This window comes from Homo sapiens, chromosome 20, assembly GCF_000001405.40.
Source record: "Homo sapiens chromosome 20, GRCh38.p14 Primary Assembly".
NCBI lineage: Eukaryota > Metazoa > Chordata > Mammalia > Primates > Hominidae > Homo > Homo sapiens.
Window position 1 is genome coordinate 46,596,059 of NC_000020.11, and position 16,246 is coordinate 46,612,304.

General features: G+C 44.9%; 1 protein-coding gene across 5 annotated transcripts in view; it reads right to left on the minus strand.

Annotated features, from left to right (window-relative positions):
• Positions 1-16,246, minus strand: part of SLC13A3 (solute carrier family 13 member 3) — a 126,658-nt gene that overhangs the window by 38,231 nt on the left and 72,181 nt on the right. For 4 of the 5 annotated variants that reach the window (NM_001193340.2, NM_001011554.3, NM_001193342.2 and 1 more), the window contains 3 exons: positions 14,388-14,551; positions 3,913-3,979; positions 99-284 (listed from right to left, as the gene is read on the minus strand). In NM_001193340.2, the coding sequence (NP_001180269.1) occupies positions 99-284; positions 3,913-3,979; positions 14,388-14,551 (417 nt within the window). The remainder of the gene's footprint in view (positions 1-98; positions 285-3,912; positions 3,980-14,387; positions 14,552-16,246) is intronic. The other variant, NM_001193339.2, reaches the window with a different exon arrangement.

Sequence of the window (16,246 nt, forward strand, 5' to 3'; positions counted from 1 at the left end):
AGAAGGCCCTCAATACACATTCCCTGGATGTTGAATGAAGGAGGGAAGAGGAGGGGAGGAGCAGAACCCTCCCCGCCGGTGGGGACTCTCGCTTTCACCTCTTGAGCTGGCCAAGCAGGATGAGGTTAGGGGCTGTGCCCGTGAGTGTGGCTGTGCCCCCAATACTGGCTGAGTAGGGGATGGAGATGAGGAAGCCCTTCCAGATGTTCCGACGATATTCATCCTCCTTCCTGGAGTCAGCCGGCAGATCCAGTGGAACCTCTGTCTCCCCAGGGTGGTCTTTGCTTTAAACAAATCCAAAGAGAAGCCATTCAGAATACATGGAGAACAGGCCACAGACTGCCTGGGAGTTGGGGAGCTAAGTGATCTTTCTAGAAGGTAATTTGGCACAGGTATCAAAAACCCGTAACAAGGTGCAACTCTTCAGCTCAGATGTTCTACTCTAAGAATGTATCCTAAAGGAATAGACAAGTGTCTCAGGTGTGGGTACAAGGGAATTCACCATGCCATTAAATATAATTTAAATGAAGGACAGTCTAAATGCCCATCAAAAAGGGGCTGATAATAAAGATGACTCTCTTCCTGAATGGAACACCAATGCAGCTATTAAATGGATGCTTACTAAGATGAGAGCTGTCCAGTCATAAACTATAGTGAAAAGGCATGTCACAGTACTATTTAGTTTTTTATTTTATAAATACTTATGTTGCAGCTGGGCGTGGTGGCTCACTCCTGTAACTCCAACACTTTGGGAGACCAAGGCAAAAGGATTGCTTGAGGAAAGGAGTTTGAGACCAGCCTGGGCAATATAGTGAGATCCCATCTCTATAAAAAAAATTTAAAAATCAGCTGGGCATGGTGGCACGCACCTATAGTCCCAGCTACTCGGGAGGCTGAGGCAGGAGGGTTGATTGAGCCCAAAAGTTTGAGGCTGTAGTGAACTTTGATTGCCCCACTGCCCTCCAGCCTGGGTGACAGAGTGAGACCCTGTCTCTAAAAAAAATTAATAAGTAATAAATAAAAATAAAGAAATGGCTATGTTTCATGAATATAAGAATATTTAAAGTCTAGAAATATATGCAAGTTGTTTTGATACCTTTCCCAGGAGTGGAATTACATATTATTTTCCTTTTTTATTTTCTGGGTTGTTTTTCTTGTACAGTTAAAGAGTTTTGGGAAATAATGAAATTAAGAATTACTAAGTACATAAGTAAAAGATCATAATGTTGGCATTATTGAGATGAAATGATGTCCGCTATTCTCCATTAAATAAAATAGGTATTTGGAAACAGACTGAAATGAAGAAAAAAATGTGAAATAGCAGGTTACAAAACAGCGTACATAGAATTATCAATTTATGTTTTATTTTATTATTTATTTTTATTTTTCATTTTTGAGACAGAGCTTCACTCTTGTCACCCAGGCTAGAGTGCAATGGCATGATCTCGGCTCACTGCTACCTCTGCCTCCCGGGTTCAAGCGATTCTCCTGCCTCAGCCTCCCGAGTAACTGAGATTATAGGTGCCCACCACCATGCCCAGCTAATTTTTGTATTTTTAGTAGAGACAGGGTTTCACCATGTTGGCCTGGCTGGTCTCGAACTCCTCACCTCAGGTAATCTGCCCGCCTTGGCCTCCCAAAGTACTGGGATTACAGGCATAAGCCACCGCGGTAAAAATGCATCTATGTATACAGCTGTCTGTCAAGAAATAGTCTAGAATGGTATTCATTTAACTGTTATAATCTACCTCTGGAAGTGAGATGTTAAATGCATTTATCTTTTATTTCAAGAGTATTTTTTGACATATGCAATTGTAAATTGTTTCTAAGCGAATGAAACTGAGAATTGCTGTAGCACTGATAGATATGTTAATGAGCTTGACTGTGGTAGTCATTTCACAATGTGCCCATATATCAAAACATTACATTGTATATCTTAAATATATATAATTTTTATTTGTCAATTATACTTCAATGAATCTGAAAAAAAGATAAATTAAGATTTTTAAAAAAGTGTTCTGTGTAACAAATCAATTTTTTTAAATTAAAGTGGAAATTAAAATGAAAAAATATTTACTTAAAGAAGGAAAGATAATTCAAATACCCTCTGGCCTGAATCACTACATAAGGGACTCCTTCCCCAGAGGGCAATGTGGACATGAGCTGGGGTCTGAGTAGCTGATTTCCAGTATGACAGGAAGGCAAAGACCAGAAGCAGGTGGAAACTACCGTCATGGTCTGACTTCTTAGGAGTGGCAGGCCTGGTCCAGAACTGTGGCCTCCCTCAGACCTGGGGACCCTAACCATCCTGAGTATCGAAAAGAGAAAAAGCAGAAAGGGCCCTAGAGTTTATCTAGAGCAAACACTTTTTTGTTCAGGTGAGGAAACTGAGGCCCAGAGAAGGGAAGGGGTTTGCATCCAACAGATGTAGGCTTCTAGAGGGTGAGGACTGGGTTTTGCAACAGACCCAGTGCAAGCACTGCACAGGCAGATGTTTAAAGCATATTTCCAGGCCACACAGTCATGAGTGGCTGAACCAATCACAGAACTCATGTCTCAAAGTTGGACTCAAAGCCCCCAAACATGGTGCCAAGAGGGAGCACAGGCTGTGGGATGAAACAGGCATAAGGTCATGCCCCTCTCCTGCTAAAATCTCCATCAGCTCCCATCTCATTCAAAATCAAGGTTATATCTATGGCTCATGATGTCCCACATGCTCTGTCCTCCACCATCACTCTCTCCCCCCCGAAGCCAACTCTCAGACCCCACCTCCTACCATGTGCTCACTCATTCACTCGGCTCCAGCCACACTGGCTTCCTGGCTGTTCTTTGACCTCTCAGGAGCTTTGCACGTGCTGGTCCACACGCTGAGAACACTCTTCCCATGGATTCCCCCACCACTCCCCACCTCTTGCAGAGATTTGCTCAAGGACGATCTTCTTGTGATGACTTCCCTGACCACCCATATTCAAACTGCCCCTTCCCAATTACCAGCTCGCCTCCCCCACCCTTTTCCTGCTTTGATCTCCCTCTGAAGCTTATCAACCACCCAACACACCATGGATTACATTCACTTATCCATTTCTTGCCACTAGAATGTAAGCCCATAAGGGCTGGGCTTTCTGTCTTTTCCTTGCTGTATCTCCATCCTTAGAATAGTGCCTGGCTCATCGTAAGCTCCCAATAAATATTAGTGAATGAATGAAATAGACCGGATCAATGCCCAGCACTGCCTTGAGCAGATCGCTTGGCTCCCTGTTGTGTCATCACTGTTAAATTGAGATCACAATGTCATAATAACAAGTGCTAACATCTGGACGTGTAAGGTCCAGCCAACCTGCTCTGTCTACATTATCTCATTGTCTCACACAGCCAGTATGGAGCAGAGCCAGAGTTCGAAGTCAGGTGTTTGTGACTCCAAATCCCATGATCTTAACTACACTGCCATAATGCAAAGGATACTGTAGACTAAATGCGATTTCAACATCAATGTGAAGATGCTTTGTAAGTCATGTAGGGTGAAGGGCTGTTATTGTTTTATAAGGAATTTTTTTGTCTGTATGGACTGTTAACCCTGCCTGCAACCCTCTCCTCCTTGACTGTCATGCAGTTTGTGCTATCTTGCTTTTTTGGGTCTCTTCTTTCAAGAGGAAAGTACCTGTGATCCTCAACCTCACCAGATCTTTAGGGATTTAATGTGCTGCCCTACCCTTTCCATGTCTGCATTTTTTTTTAAATGAGGCTGTTGAGGTTAATGTTTAAGCCACAGAGATGAATGGTGGAAACTCAGGCATTAGGTCATTTGGAGAAAAATTCAGGGATGGGAGGAAAATGGTTTGCAGCATTGAATTCTTGTTCATCATCTCCTTGAATCAAGCACTGGGTCCTCTATGAATTTCACCAGTAACTTACGCTTCTGTGCTGGCGAGAAACTGCATCTCCGTGGGCACAGTGTGTAGGCCGTTTCTCCGCACAGCAGCTAGGAGGAAAGAGCATGATGTCTTTAATGTAATGTAGCGAATGGAACAGGAGTGTCCCAAATCTTGTGAAGTCAGTCAAGAATGCTTTCTTTGCCAAGGATCCTATACTACTCACTGAATCAAAAGACAAAGACAGAGAGAGAGAGGAAGAGAGGGAGGAAGGGAGAGAGAGGAAGGGAGAGAGGGGGAGGGAGGGAGGGAGAGAGAGATGGAGGAAGGAAGGAAAGGAAAGGAAAGGAAAGGAAAGGGAGGGAAAGAAAGAAAGAAAGAAAGAGGGAAGGAAGGAAAGGAAGGAAGGAAGGAAAGGAAAAGAAAGGAAAGGAAAGAAAAGGAAGGGAAAGGAAAGGGAGGGAAAGAAAGAAAGAAAGGAGGAAGGAAGGAAGGAAAGGAAGGAAGGAAGGAAGGAAAAGGAAAGGAAAAAGAAAAGAAAGGTCATTCAGCATTCTATCCTCCTGTCCTACCATCCATATGTGAAGATGTGCCCAGGCCTGTTGGCAGGGGTTTAGCTGCAGGGCTGCTTGACAACCCATAACTCAAGCTTAGGCTTACCTGAGCAGCCATTGCCAAAGTTGTGAAAGGCCAGCTATGAATGGTAATGAGTCATCAATGGGTTGGACGACCCCAATTGTCCATTCATTCATTCATCCAAAAAGTATTTATTGAGCACCTACTATGTGCTATTGACTATGTTCTCAGGGTACTCTGTGAACAATATAGAACAAGGCCCCTGGCTTCCATGGAGGTCATACTCTAGAAGGGGAGGCAGGAAATAAATGAATAAAGAAAATTTTAGGTAGGGACAAATGTATGGAGGAAATAGAACTGGGTAATGTGACTGGAAAGTGGAGAGGGGAGTAGGTGGGCTCTCCCTTCAACAGAGAAGACACTGTGTGCTGATGGCCTCGGGTCTGAGACCTCAAGGATAAAATGGAATCCATCCTATGAAGAGCCCTGGGAAAAGGGTGCAAGGAAACAGGAACAGCAAGTGCAAAGGCCCGGCAGTAAGGAGGTGCTTGGCTGAGATGAAGAACTGAGGAAGCCCATGTGCTGGGAAAGAGGTGTATAGGAAAGGCCTAGGGGAGATGGGGGTGGGGACGGAGTGGGCAAAGGCCAACGGGAACTAAATCAGGGAAGGGGACCCCCTGCAGGATTTAATGCCCAAGACGATATGATTTACATTTTATAAACAACTCTGGGCCTGGTCCGAGAGAATGGACGTAGGGAAAGGGGCAAAAATGGAAGCTGAGAGTCCAGTTCTGGATCTGTTGCATTTTCCAGCTAAGATGATGATGGCTGGATTTGGCTGGTAACCATACAGACCCTGAGAGTAATAAGTGGTGGATGTGTTTCAGTTCTTTTGAGATAAGAGCTTGGTGCAACTTGGAACCCAGAGCCAAAACTGGGGCACATGAACCCTAGCCAACTGATCCCTCAGCAAATCGCTATGGAGCACCTGTCATGTACCTGGTGCTGAGTGACAAAAGATGAAAGTCCATGTCCTCATGGAGCTGATCTTCTGGTGGGGGAGACAGACCACACACGACTAAGTAATATACGCAGTATGTCAAATGAAGATGCATGCCATGCAAAAGAACAAGGCAGGGAAGGAGCCAGGCATCCTGGGGTGAGACACCTTCTTCAAGGCTCAAAGAAAGTCTGATGGAGAAGGAAAATTTGACTTTGAACCAAGACCTGAAGGTGAGGGGATGAGCCAAGCAAACATCTGGGGCAAGAAAGAGCAGGTGCAAAGGCCCTGGGGTGGGAGCACACCCAGGAAGCAAAGGGGAGGCCAGTGGAGCTGCAGGGGCCAGAGGGAGGAGAAGAGTAAGAGGAGGCAAGGTAAGAGAAGTGGCAGGGGGTGGAGGTGGTAGGAAGTGGGTGGGATCATGCAGGGATCTCAGAGCTCACAGGAAGGACTGTGGCTTCTCCTCTGAGTCAGGTAGGAACTAGAGTAGCATTTGAGCAGAGGAGGCTCAGGACAGGAGCTAACTTTGTTTTTAAAGTTATTTCTCTGGTCAAGTGTGGTGGTTCATGCCTATAATCCCAGCTACTCAGGAGGCTAAGGCAGGAGGATTGCTTGAGCCGAGAGTTTGAAACTAGCCTGAGCCAGATAGTGAGACCACATCTCTAAAAAACATTCTCCAAAAAATTAGCTGGGTGTGGTGGTGCATGCCTGTAGTCCCAACCACTCCAGAGGCTGAGGTGGAGGATCTGTTGAGCCCAGGAGTTGGAGGCTGCAGTGAGGTATGATCATGCTACTGCACTCCACCTTGGGTGACAGAGAAAGACCTTGTCTCTTAAAACAAACACACAAAAATAATAAAGTTATTTCTCTGCTTGATAGACCAGACTCCCCAGCAGCCTTTGACAGTGTTTTGGAGAAAAGAAAATTAGAATGAATTAAATGTTCCTGCAGCTGGAACCACCACCAAGAGTAAAATAACTCACCTCTGGGAGTTGGGTGTGTGGCTGGTAGCCAAACACATCAGCCTTGGGTTCAAATCCTAGCTCCATCACTTACAATGTGACTTTAGGTCAGTAGTTCCCAGCGAGGGCCAATTCTGTACCCAAGAGATGTTGGGCAATGTCTGGGGGCATTTTTGGTTATCACAGCTTGGGTGGAAGGGCAAAGTACTACTGGCGTCTATTAGTTAGAGACCAGAAATGCTGCTAAACATCCTGCAATACACAGGTCAGCCCACCCCAGCAAAGAATTATCCCACCCAAATGTCATTGGTAATGAAGTTGAGAAACCCTGGTTAGGGTATATCCCTTAATCTCCCTATACCTCAGTTCTTTAATGATAAAATGGAAGTAACCATTCTAGGATTGTTAAGAGGATTAAAGAGTTAATCTACTGCCAGGTGTGGTGACTCACGCCTGTAATCCCAGCACTTTGGGAAGCCGAGGTGGGCAGATCACCTGAGGTCGGGAGTTTGAGACCAGCCTGACCAACATGGAGAAACCCCGTCTCCACTAAAAATACAAAATTAGCCAGGCATGGTGGCGCATGCCTGTAATCCCAGCTACTCAGGAGGCTGAGGCAGGAGAATTGCTTGAACCCAGGAGGTGGAGGTTACGGTGAGCTGAGATAGCACCATTGCACACCACTCCAGCCTGGGCAACAAGAGCAAAATTTCGTCTCAAAAAAAAAAAAGAGTTAACTTATTAAAAGCAAGGATCAACAAACTTCTGTAAAAAGCCAGATAGTAAACATTTTAGGTTTTGGGGGGCCATGAGGTCTCTGTCATAACAACATCTCTGCCATAGGGGCAGAAAATCAGCCACAGACAACATCAATGCTTGAGTGTGGCTAAACTTTTATTTGGGGGACATCAAAAAAATTTTTGTTTTGAGATAGGATCTCGTTCTGTTGCCCAGGCTGGAGGGCAGTGGCACGATCACAGCTCACAACAGCCTCGACATACCAGGCTCAAGTGATCCTCCCACCTCAGCCTCCCAAGTAGCTGGGACCACAGGCATGTGCCACCATGCCCAGCTAATTGTTGTATTTTTTTTTTTTTTTTTGGTAAAAAAGAAGGTCTTGCTATGTTGCCCAGGCTGGTCTCTAACTCTGGGGCTCAAGCGATCCTCTCACCTCGGCCTCCCAAAGTGCTGGGATTACAGAAGTGAACTACCACGCCTGGGCTGAAATTTGAATATCATATAATTTTTCATGTCACAAAATATTTTTCTGCTTTTGATTTATTTCAATCACTTAAAAATATGAAAACTATTCTTAGCTCCCAGGCTGTAAAAAAACAAGCAGTAGGCTGGATGTGGAGGGCCATGCTTTGTCAATCTTGATATAAAGACTTCAACAGAGCTGGGTAGTCCCAGCTCTTGAGAGGCTGAGGTGGGAGGATTGCTTGATCTAGGGAGGTCAAGGCTGCAGTGAACCGTGATCATGCCACTGCACTCCATCTTGGGTGACAGAGCAAGACGCCATCTCAAAAAAAAAAAAAAAAGACAGAAAGAATTTAACAGGAAGCTGAGTACTAGCAAATGTTCAGTAAATATGGGTTACCATAGAGAAAGAAGAAAACAGAGCATAGGGAATGATTCTGACACTCAGAGCCTGGTCACTTCATTCTCCATCATCTTGTCTAAGGGCAAGGTGGCTGTGTCACCCTCAAAATCCCAACATCCCCCTCTCTTGCTAAATGAGTGACTGCTCCTTCCTTACCCAGCTCAGAATTGCCTCTGGTCTCTCTCAGTGCCCAGCCTCCAGTCCAGATCCTGTCCTGGGTTCCTTTTAACACCCCCTTCCTGAAATAATCAGGGTAGCTCATGGCATGTGTGCCCCGCCCCCTCACTGCTGTAGTAAATGATAACTCAGCTTGTTTCATTACTAGGGTATTCCTGGGGTCTTTGGTGAAGGCCATTGACACTCTTCAAGGAACCCAAGCAAGACACAAAAAAAGTTTGATTTTTTTTCTTTTTTACATGGGATTTTCCTTCACATGGAAGTCAGGCCACATACACAGCCATGTGGACATTCCTTGTCTCGCCCCGTGGTTTGGGGAAGTCCCTTCCACACCACGGGCCGCTCTCGTGGTACACCGTTGGTACCATGAGGGAACAGGATTCCATGGTGGCTGGCTGTGTCATTTTTCCTGTGCCTGGAGCTGGCCCTGTTGACCCCCTGCAGGGGCCTGAAGATGAAAGTTGAATCAGCTGCCCTGGGCCATAGGGATGAGGGCCCCTGAGCACGAGTGCTGGGAACAGGTCCACAAGCCATGCACGAGGCCAGGGTCCAGGGCACTGAAGTAGGAAGCGAGGGACTATTAATAGCACACTAAGGTTGGGGGCAAAGTTGCTCCCCAGGGGATGGCCAGACAGTAAGAACTCTGACTTGGTGACCCCCAGTCCCCACCATCGCTAGCTCGCTCTACCCTCTTCCCACCTGGGTGCTGTGCAGGTGATTCCTTTATGCAGCCAGGGTGGACAGCAACTTGTCTGAGGTTACAGATAGGGAAACTGAGCTCACCAGTTTGCCACAGCCCTCGCCTGGCCCCGTTTGCTCTGCATCTGAGTTGAAGAGCCCTGATAAGAGATTGTATGTGCTATAAATAAGGCAGTGAAGGGTATTCGTACACACAGAACTCTAAACAGTAATTAGCTTTATCATATAAGATCAGGAAGGAGGGAGTTTTGCTTTTTCCTTATGGAGATTAGTAATGTAAGAAAAGTTAATATCAGGCATTATTTTCTGATGATGATGATGATAAAGTCATGAAGATGAAACTGGAAAACCTGGTGCTGAGCAGAGCTCTTAGGCATTTACACAGGATCCACCCCTGTGCTTCCTGTGACCTCAGTGGCCCAAGAGACCACATGGAAACAGGCCAGTGGAGCAAAGTCCCCAGAGAGACTTCTCTGGGTCCAGAAATTGCCAGTTGATTAGAAGCTTGATGCTTCTGTAGGGTCTTATTCACATCATACAAATCCTTGAGTTTGTGTCAGGCCAGGGGATGGAGAACTTTCACATTTATAATCTTACAGCTGTCTCCAAGCAGCCTTACAGAGCTATGCAAAGTTTATTACCTTCCTCTTCACAACTGGGGAAACTGAGGCCTAGAGAGGTGGGCTAAATTGGGATCAAGAGGACCCAATGGGTCAGTGGCAGAGTCAGGATTATACCCAGAACTTTGGATCTCCCATCCCCTGAACCTCGGTCCATCTCCAAGGCACCCACCTGTCACTTTAGCAGGTCTGACGTGAAACTGATAACTCTAGTCTAGCCTCCCTGGTATGACTAAGATGTTCTTAAAATTTGACACGAAGAGGGCCCTCAGGAAAGAGTTCTTGTGTCAAATTAGGTAAACGGCAATCCAGGGAAGGTCAAAAGCCCCCAAGTTAAGCAGGTTTATATCCATTTACTCACTTAGCACTCATGTCAGCCTAAGTAGTAAGGATTATTATCCCTGTTTTAGGTTTGAGGAAACTGAGACATAGAACAGTTAGTTCAATGGTCTATTTGTGTATTCATTAATTCCACACATTTATTGAACATCTACTATGTACCAACAGTGTCTTAGGTGCACAAGACTGCACCAGTGAAGATTCACAACAATGAGAAAGACTGATAGGCCCTTCACGGAGCTTGGAACCTGTGGAGGAGACAGATTATAAACCAGGAAGCAAATCAATCCCGCTCAAGTAGGAGGGGAAACACCAAGGTGGAACGAGGTAGGAGGTCTTATTACCTGTGCCTCCAATGCCTGGAAGTCTCATAGGTAGTTTTTAATACAACTGCCATATATTAACCACTTCCTATGTACCTGGCTCTCGTTTCTCACGTAAGAGGCAGTGTCCTTGTTTTATAGATGAGGAAAGTTGCAGAAGGTTGGTTAGCATATGGATGAGCACCACGCTTCACTCAACATTAAAGACCCTTGTGTTGTGAAGGGTGGCATCCTGGGCCTTCCTATAAAATAAAGATGTAGATGGCAAGTTAGCTTTCTATGGACAGAGAAAAGGAGGGGAAAGAGTTTAGATTCAAAAGCCAGGTGGAAGGCCAGATATGGTGGCTCACGCCTGTAAGCCCAGTGCTTTGGGAGGCCGAGGCTAGAGGATCACTTGAGCCTGGGAGTTTGAGGCTGCAGCGAGCTGAATGCACCACTGCACTCCAGCCTAGGAGACAGAGGAAGACCCTGTCTCTAAAAAACAAAAACAAAATCCAGGTGGGCCCCTTACTGGCCAAGGAACATTGGGCCTATCATGGCTGTGAGCTTCAGTTTCCTCATCTGTAAAACAGGCATGCTAATAGTGCCTCCCCACAGGGCTGTGGTGGAGGACCTAATGAGAGCGTGCATGCAGGGGGACATTGGCGAAGCCATCACTCACATGGCCCCTGGGTCCCCCAGGAAGTGCAGGGCACAGAACTGAGCAAAGGAACTGGAGAAAGGCAACAGCGCTGCCCTCCAAGTCTGAGGACCTCTGGAGTCTTATCCAGATAGCCCCACCCTGCCCTAGGTTCTGCCTCCTCTGTACCAGGCACCATGGCAAGGTGCTTATAAGCACAGATTCTGGATTCTGACAGAGCTCAGCAAATCATCGTGTTACTTTGGGCAAATCATTTTGCTTCTCTGAGCCTCAGTTTCCTCATCTATAAAATGGGCATCATTACCTCCTAGTACAATTATGAAGATCAGATGAGCTAATGAGTATAAAAAAATTAGCATGGTATCTGCATGTGGTGGTTACTCAGAAAATGGGAGCTCAGCTCACATGATGATTATGGTTGCTGCTGGTGCTACAGATGTCCTTCATGAACCTATAGCTCCTAGGAACTTCCTTGTGCCTCTCCTAGCCCACTGGCAGAATCTCTACTCCCTCCACCCCTGTCCTCGCCTCCTGCCACCTGGTCAAAGCTCAGAACTGGATGAAAGGGAATAGCTCTCTTTGTACTGGAATTAGCCTTGTTTTAGGTCTTAGAAGCTGATCATTAACCAATTCCTGCTCCTCCCTGATCCCATGGCCTGTAAAGGTAGGTATCTATCCCAACCCCCAGGATCCCCTCCCTCTTGACATCCTGCAGCATAGGAAAAGGCTCTGGACTTCAATGCATGGCCACCACTGTGTGTGGCCTTGGGCAAGTCCCTTCCCCTTCCTGAGTCTCAGATTTTTCATTCTCACAATGAGGGACTTGGCTTTCAATCATTTGCTTGACCACTTTGGAAAAAGTCTCATGTGGGAGGCAGAATAATGGAGCCTGAGAATGTAGGCTCTGAAGTCAGCCAGCCCGGATTCAAAATACCAGAGCCACAGTTTGGAAACTGCGTAACGGGGGGTGGGAGGACTCTTTTTAATTCCTTCCTCAATTTCCATTTCTGTAAATGAGGTCGATGCTTGCTCCGTCTCATTCAGATATGAGGTCCACCTAAGAGTCCGCGCATAAACTAAGTGCACAGTAAACATTGGTTATTATTGCTTAGAGGCCCAGTGTACAAAATGAATAAAGTGAGTCTAACTAGGGTTGAAATGGGGAAAAGGGCAGAGTCCCAGGTGCTTGCTGCCACCCCAGGGTGACCATCAGGCAGTTCTCTTAAGGGAAACAGTTTGAAAATCAAGAAAGCCAATATTGTACAGCAGGGGTCAGTGACCTACAATATGCAGCCCCAATCCAGCCCACCGCCTGTTTTTGTGTGGCCTGCCAACTAGGAATGGCTTCTACATTTTCAAATGGTTGAAAAACATCTATGGAAGAATATTTCCTGATACAAAAATTATATGAAATTTTAATTTCAGCACCCATAAATACAATTTTTTTGTCACATTGCCACGCCTGCTTGTTTGTTTTATCTGTGGCTGCTTTCTCACTGCAAGGGCAGCGTTGAGTAGTTGCAACAGAGTGGCCCACAAAGCCTGCAGTATTTACTATTTGGTCATTTATAGACAAAGTTTGTTAATCCATGCTATAAAGCTTCTCTTCACTTCCTCGTGGAAGACTCTGCCGTTGCATAGAGCTGACTCTGCCACTTTGCCAATGCTATGATCCTCAACACATCATCTCACCTCTCCAAACTTCATCTGTAAAGTACATATAATCATTTCTAGTGTTCAGGGTTGCTGTGAAAATAAAATAAGCAGGACCCCTTAGTGTATGACGGGGAAATACTCATGTGACTGTCAGTGAGATTAACTTAGATGGTACACGGATCAACATTTAAGTTTTAACAGATACGTATTTAATTTAATTCATATTTTAAAAACTAGAACTAGCACACAAAACCTATGGTTTCATGGATAATGCTTGTTGTGTTCACTGAGGTAAATGATCCAAAGCCACAGGGGCAGATCTGCCATCTATCTCTCAAGATGTGGCTCCTGTCTTTGGGTCCCAGGTGCCATCATATTCACATTCCACCCGGCAGGAAGGACAGAACCCGGAAGTTGCACACATCATTTCCACTCATATTCCATTGACCAGACTCAGTTATCTGACCAAGTCTTATCACAAGGGGAGCTTGAAGTTTCAGCCTTTCCTCAGAGAGGAAAGTATTGGGTTCTATTCCTAAAAGAACAAAGGAAGAATCAATGCCGGGGTTAAACTAGCCATTTCTGCCCACATATGTATCAATTCAAATCTTCCTTTTAAAATACAGTTATGTAAATTAAAAGTAAGACATTTTAAAGTGACATGATGTGGCAGCCACTTTGCAACCATAAGACCAGGGGAACCAGAGTTGCCAATGAAAAATCATGACGTCATTGTGCCTCTGAATTGATCCTGGACTTCTTTAACTTCACTGTGTAATTTGGGAAAATCATTTCCCTCTTGGAGACTGTATGTAGTCACCTAAAAATACAATGGCTGTGTATGTTTTGTTTTATTAAGAACATAATTTCAGAGGATTGAGGGAATCAAATCCCTCCGTTCATAATACGTTATCACTATTTACTTCACAAAGCCTCTCTTTCCTATAATTGATTGGGTCTTTTTAGTCCTTTCTCTCCCCATTTCCCACTCTCACCCTTTCCATAGCAACCATTCTGATATGTTTAATGTGTAGCTTTTCATCATACATTGCTTACAAAATCTTTTGTCGTTCATGTGTATTTTCAGCTTACATATTGAGGTTGTATTCTAGATCTCATTCTGGTTTTTACCTCCAATCATAACTGCTCTATGAGATCCATTTATAGAAGTACATGGTTCACTAATTCTTCTCTCTTTTAAAAGGAGCATAATGCTCAATGGCATGTATCCACCATATTTGCCTTTGCCTGTACTAGCAATAAAGTGCATGTAGCCACCAACTTCCCACACCACAGAGAGCGCTACAGTGAATATCACTATGTGCGTTCCCTCCTGGACCTATAGGAGAATTCCTTTGGTGTCTGGGAGCAAAACTGCTGGGTTACAGAGTATAAACACATTTAATGTGATTAAATCCTTGCACAAGATCCTTAAGAAACTCTAACCCAGTCCACACTCTTTCTAGCAGTACACGAAAGTTCCTGTGGCCCCTATTCCTGTCAACATGGGGATTCATCAGCTTCCTTATTTCTGCCTGTCTCATTGATTAAAATGTTATTGTTTCAATTTGCATTTCTCTGAGTACTGGTGATGCTGAGCATCTCTTTGAATGCTGTAAAACAAGGTTTAATTATAGTACTTACTTCATAGAGCTGTTTTGAGAGTTAAGGAAGATAATGTATGTAAAGAGTTCAACTCACTGCTCAGTATACAGTATGTGCTTAATAAATGCAAATTTTAAACAACCAAGGTACCATGATTTCTTATCTAATTATCAGTCATTGTCATAACTAAAACACCTGACGCATAGTAGGTGCTCAATAAGTGTGCATGCCCTTGGCCTTCCCTAACATCCTTTGGACATCCCATTCCCACTTCCAAATCCTGGTGGATTTGGCCCCAATCCCTTAGCACAGCCTCACCTGTGTTCTCTTCACTCTCCTGGCTGGGGTCCTTTCGAACCTCCTTCTGGCCAAAGAGACTTTTCAGGATGGCATTGGCAATGGGAAGCATCATGGCAGTGGAGGCGGTGTTGCTCAGCCACATGGACAAGAACGAGGTGGTCACCATCATCCCCAGGATGAGCCTGCAGAGCAGATGGCATTAGAGGCAAATCCAGAACCCAGGGCCCAGGAGATCCTCTGGTCCCAGTTTGCCATCCCTGAGGAATACAATCCATCCATTTTACAGATGGAAACTTGAGACTCAAAGCAGAAACCAAATCCACTCACCAGGTTTATTTTAGATCTAAGAAAACTGTGGTTCAGTGTGTTTAAGTGAACTGTCCATAGGTACCCAGGTTATAAAGACATCCCAAGCCTGACGTTTTCTCTTTCTTGCCCTCAAATCCTCAATGATACCCATTTCAGAATAAAGTTGCCGGGGCACCAAGACACTCCACTATCTTTCCCTCATGGCCTTCTCAGCTTCCTCCCTCTTTTCCCCTCCTCTTACCAGCTACTCCCTGCTGCGACTCTGCTGAACTTCTCACCCGCACCCAACACCTTTACTCCCCTGCCTCCCTGCCTTTGCTTGGTCCATTCCCACCAACAGAATCTAAGTATCAGGATTTTTTCTCTTTATATTGAACTCTGAATCCACCTGGAATTTACTTAGATGCATAGTACAAAGTAAGATGTAAATTTTTTAATAGAAGAAACCAATTATCCCAACTCTCACCATTTATTGGAAAATCCTTCCTTCGGATTTGGGTTTCCTATAGATTTATTCTGTTTCAAAAATCTGTTTCCAGACTTGTGTCTTACTGTTTTAATTATTGTAATTTTAGAATATGTTTAAGAGCAGCCCTACTCATTATTCAAAGTCAAGCTCAAATGTGACCTCCTCCAGGAAGTTTCCCCCTATCTCCCTACCTCTCATGTGGGCTCTCACACCATGATGTGCCCCTTGGAGATCAAATTCCACTTGGCATTGGAATTAGTTCCATAGATGGAGTCTGTCCCACAGGACTGGCAGCTCCTCCAGGAGGAGGCGCAGCTACAGAGCCTAGCAGAGCAGATGGCACAGAGATAATGCTAGAAACCTAGGAGTCATCCAGAACCTTCTTTTCCTACGCCCTCCCCTGTGTCAATTTTATCACCCAAATTACTCTCAAATCTATCCAATCTGTTCATCTCCACTGCCACCTCCTAGTCCAAGCTGCTACTGTCTCTTGTCGGGACACTCTAAATGGCCTTCTAACTGGGATGTATCAGCTTCTCATGCCCGTACCCTCCTGTCTGACCTCTACAAGGCAGCTAAGACGAATCTTTAAAAAATGCAAATCTGAAGGAAATGAGACGTATTTGAAATAAAATGCAAATCTGGCCATGTCATTCCTCAGCTTAGAACCCTTTAAAGCACAGATTTATAAGTCTATGGATATAATTCAGAACTGGATTGGGAGAAAATGTGTATCCTCATTTTGCTAACATCTAATCAAATTAAGCATTTCCTTCAGGGATAAACAGGCAACAAAGTTGAGGTGTATGAGCAGTGCCTGAGGCTCTGTCACCCAAAAAAAAATCCCTGACATTTTCTCTTTCTTTTTTTTCTTTCTGTCTTTTCTTTTCTTTCTTTCTCTCTTTCTCTCTCTCTTTGCTTTTTTTTTTTTTTTTTTTTTTTGAGACAGGGTCTCACTGTTACTGAGGTTGGAGTACAGTGAGTGGCGTGATCTTGGCTCACTGCAACATCCGCCTCCTGGGTTCAAGCGATCCGCCCACCTCAGCTTTCTGAGTAGCTGGGATCACAGGCATGCGCCACCACGCCCAGTGAATTTTTT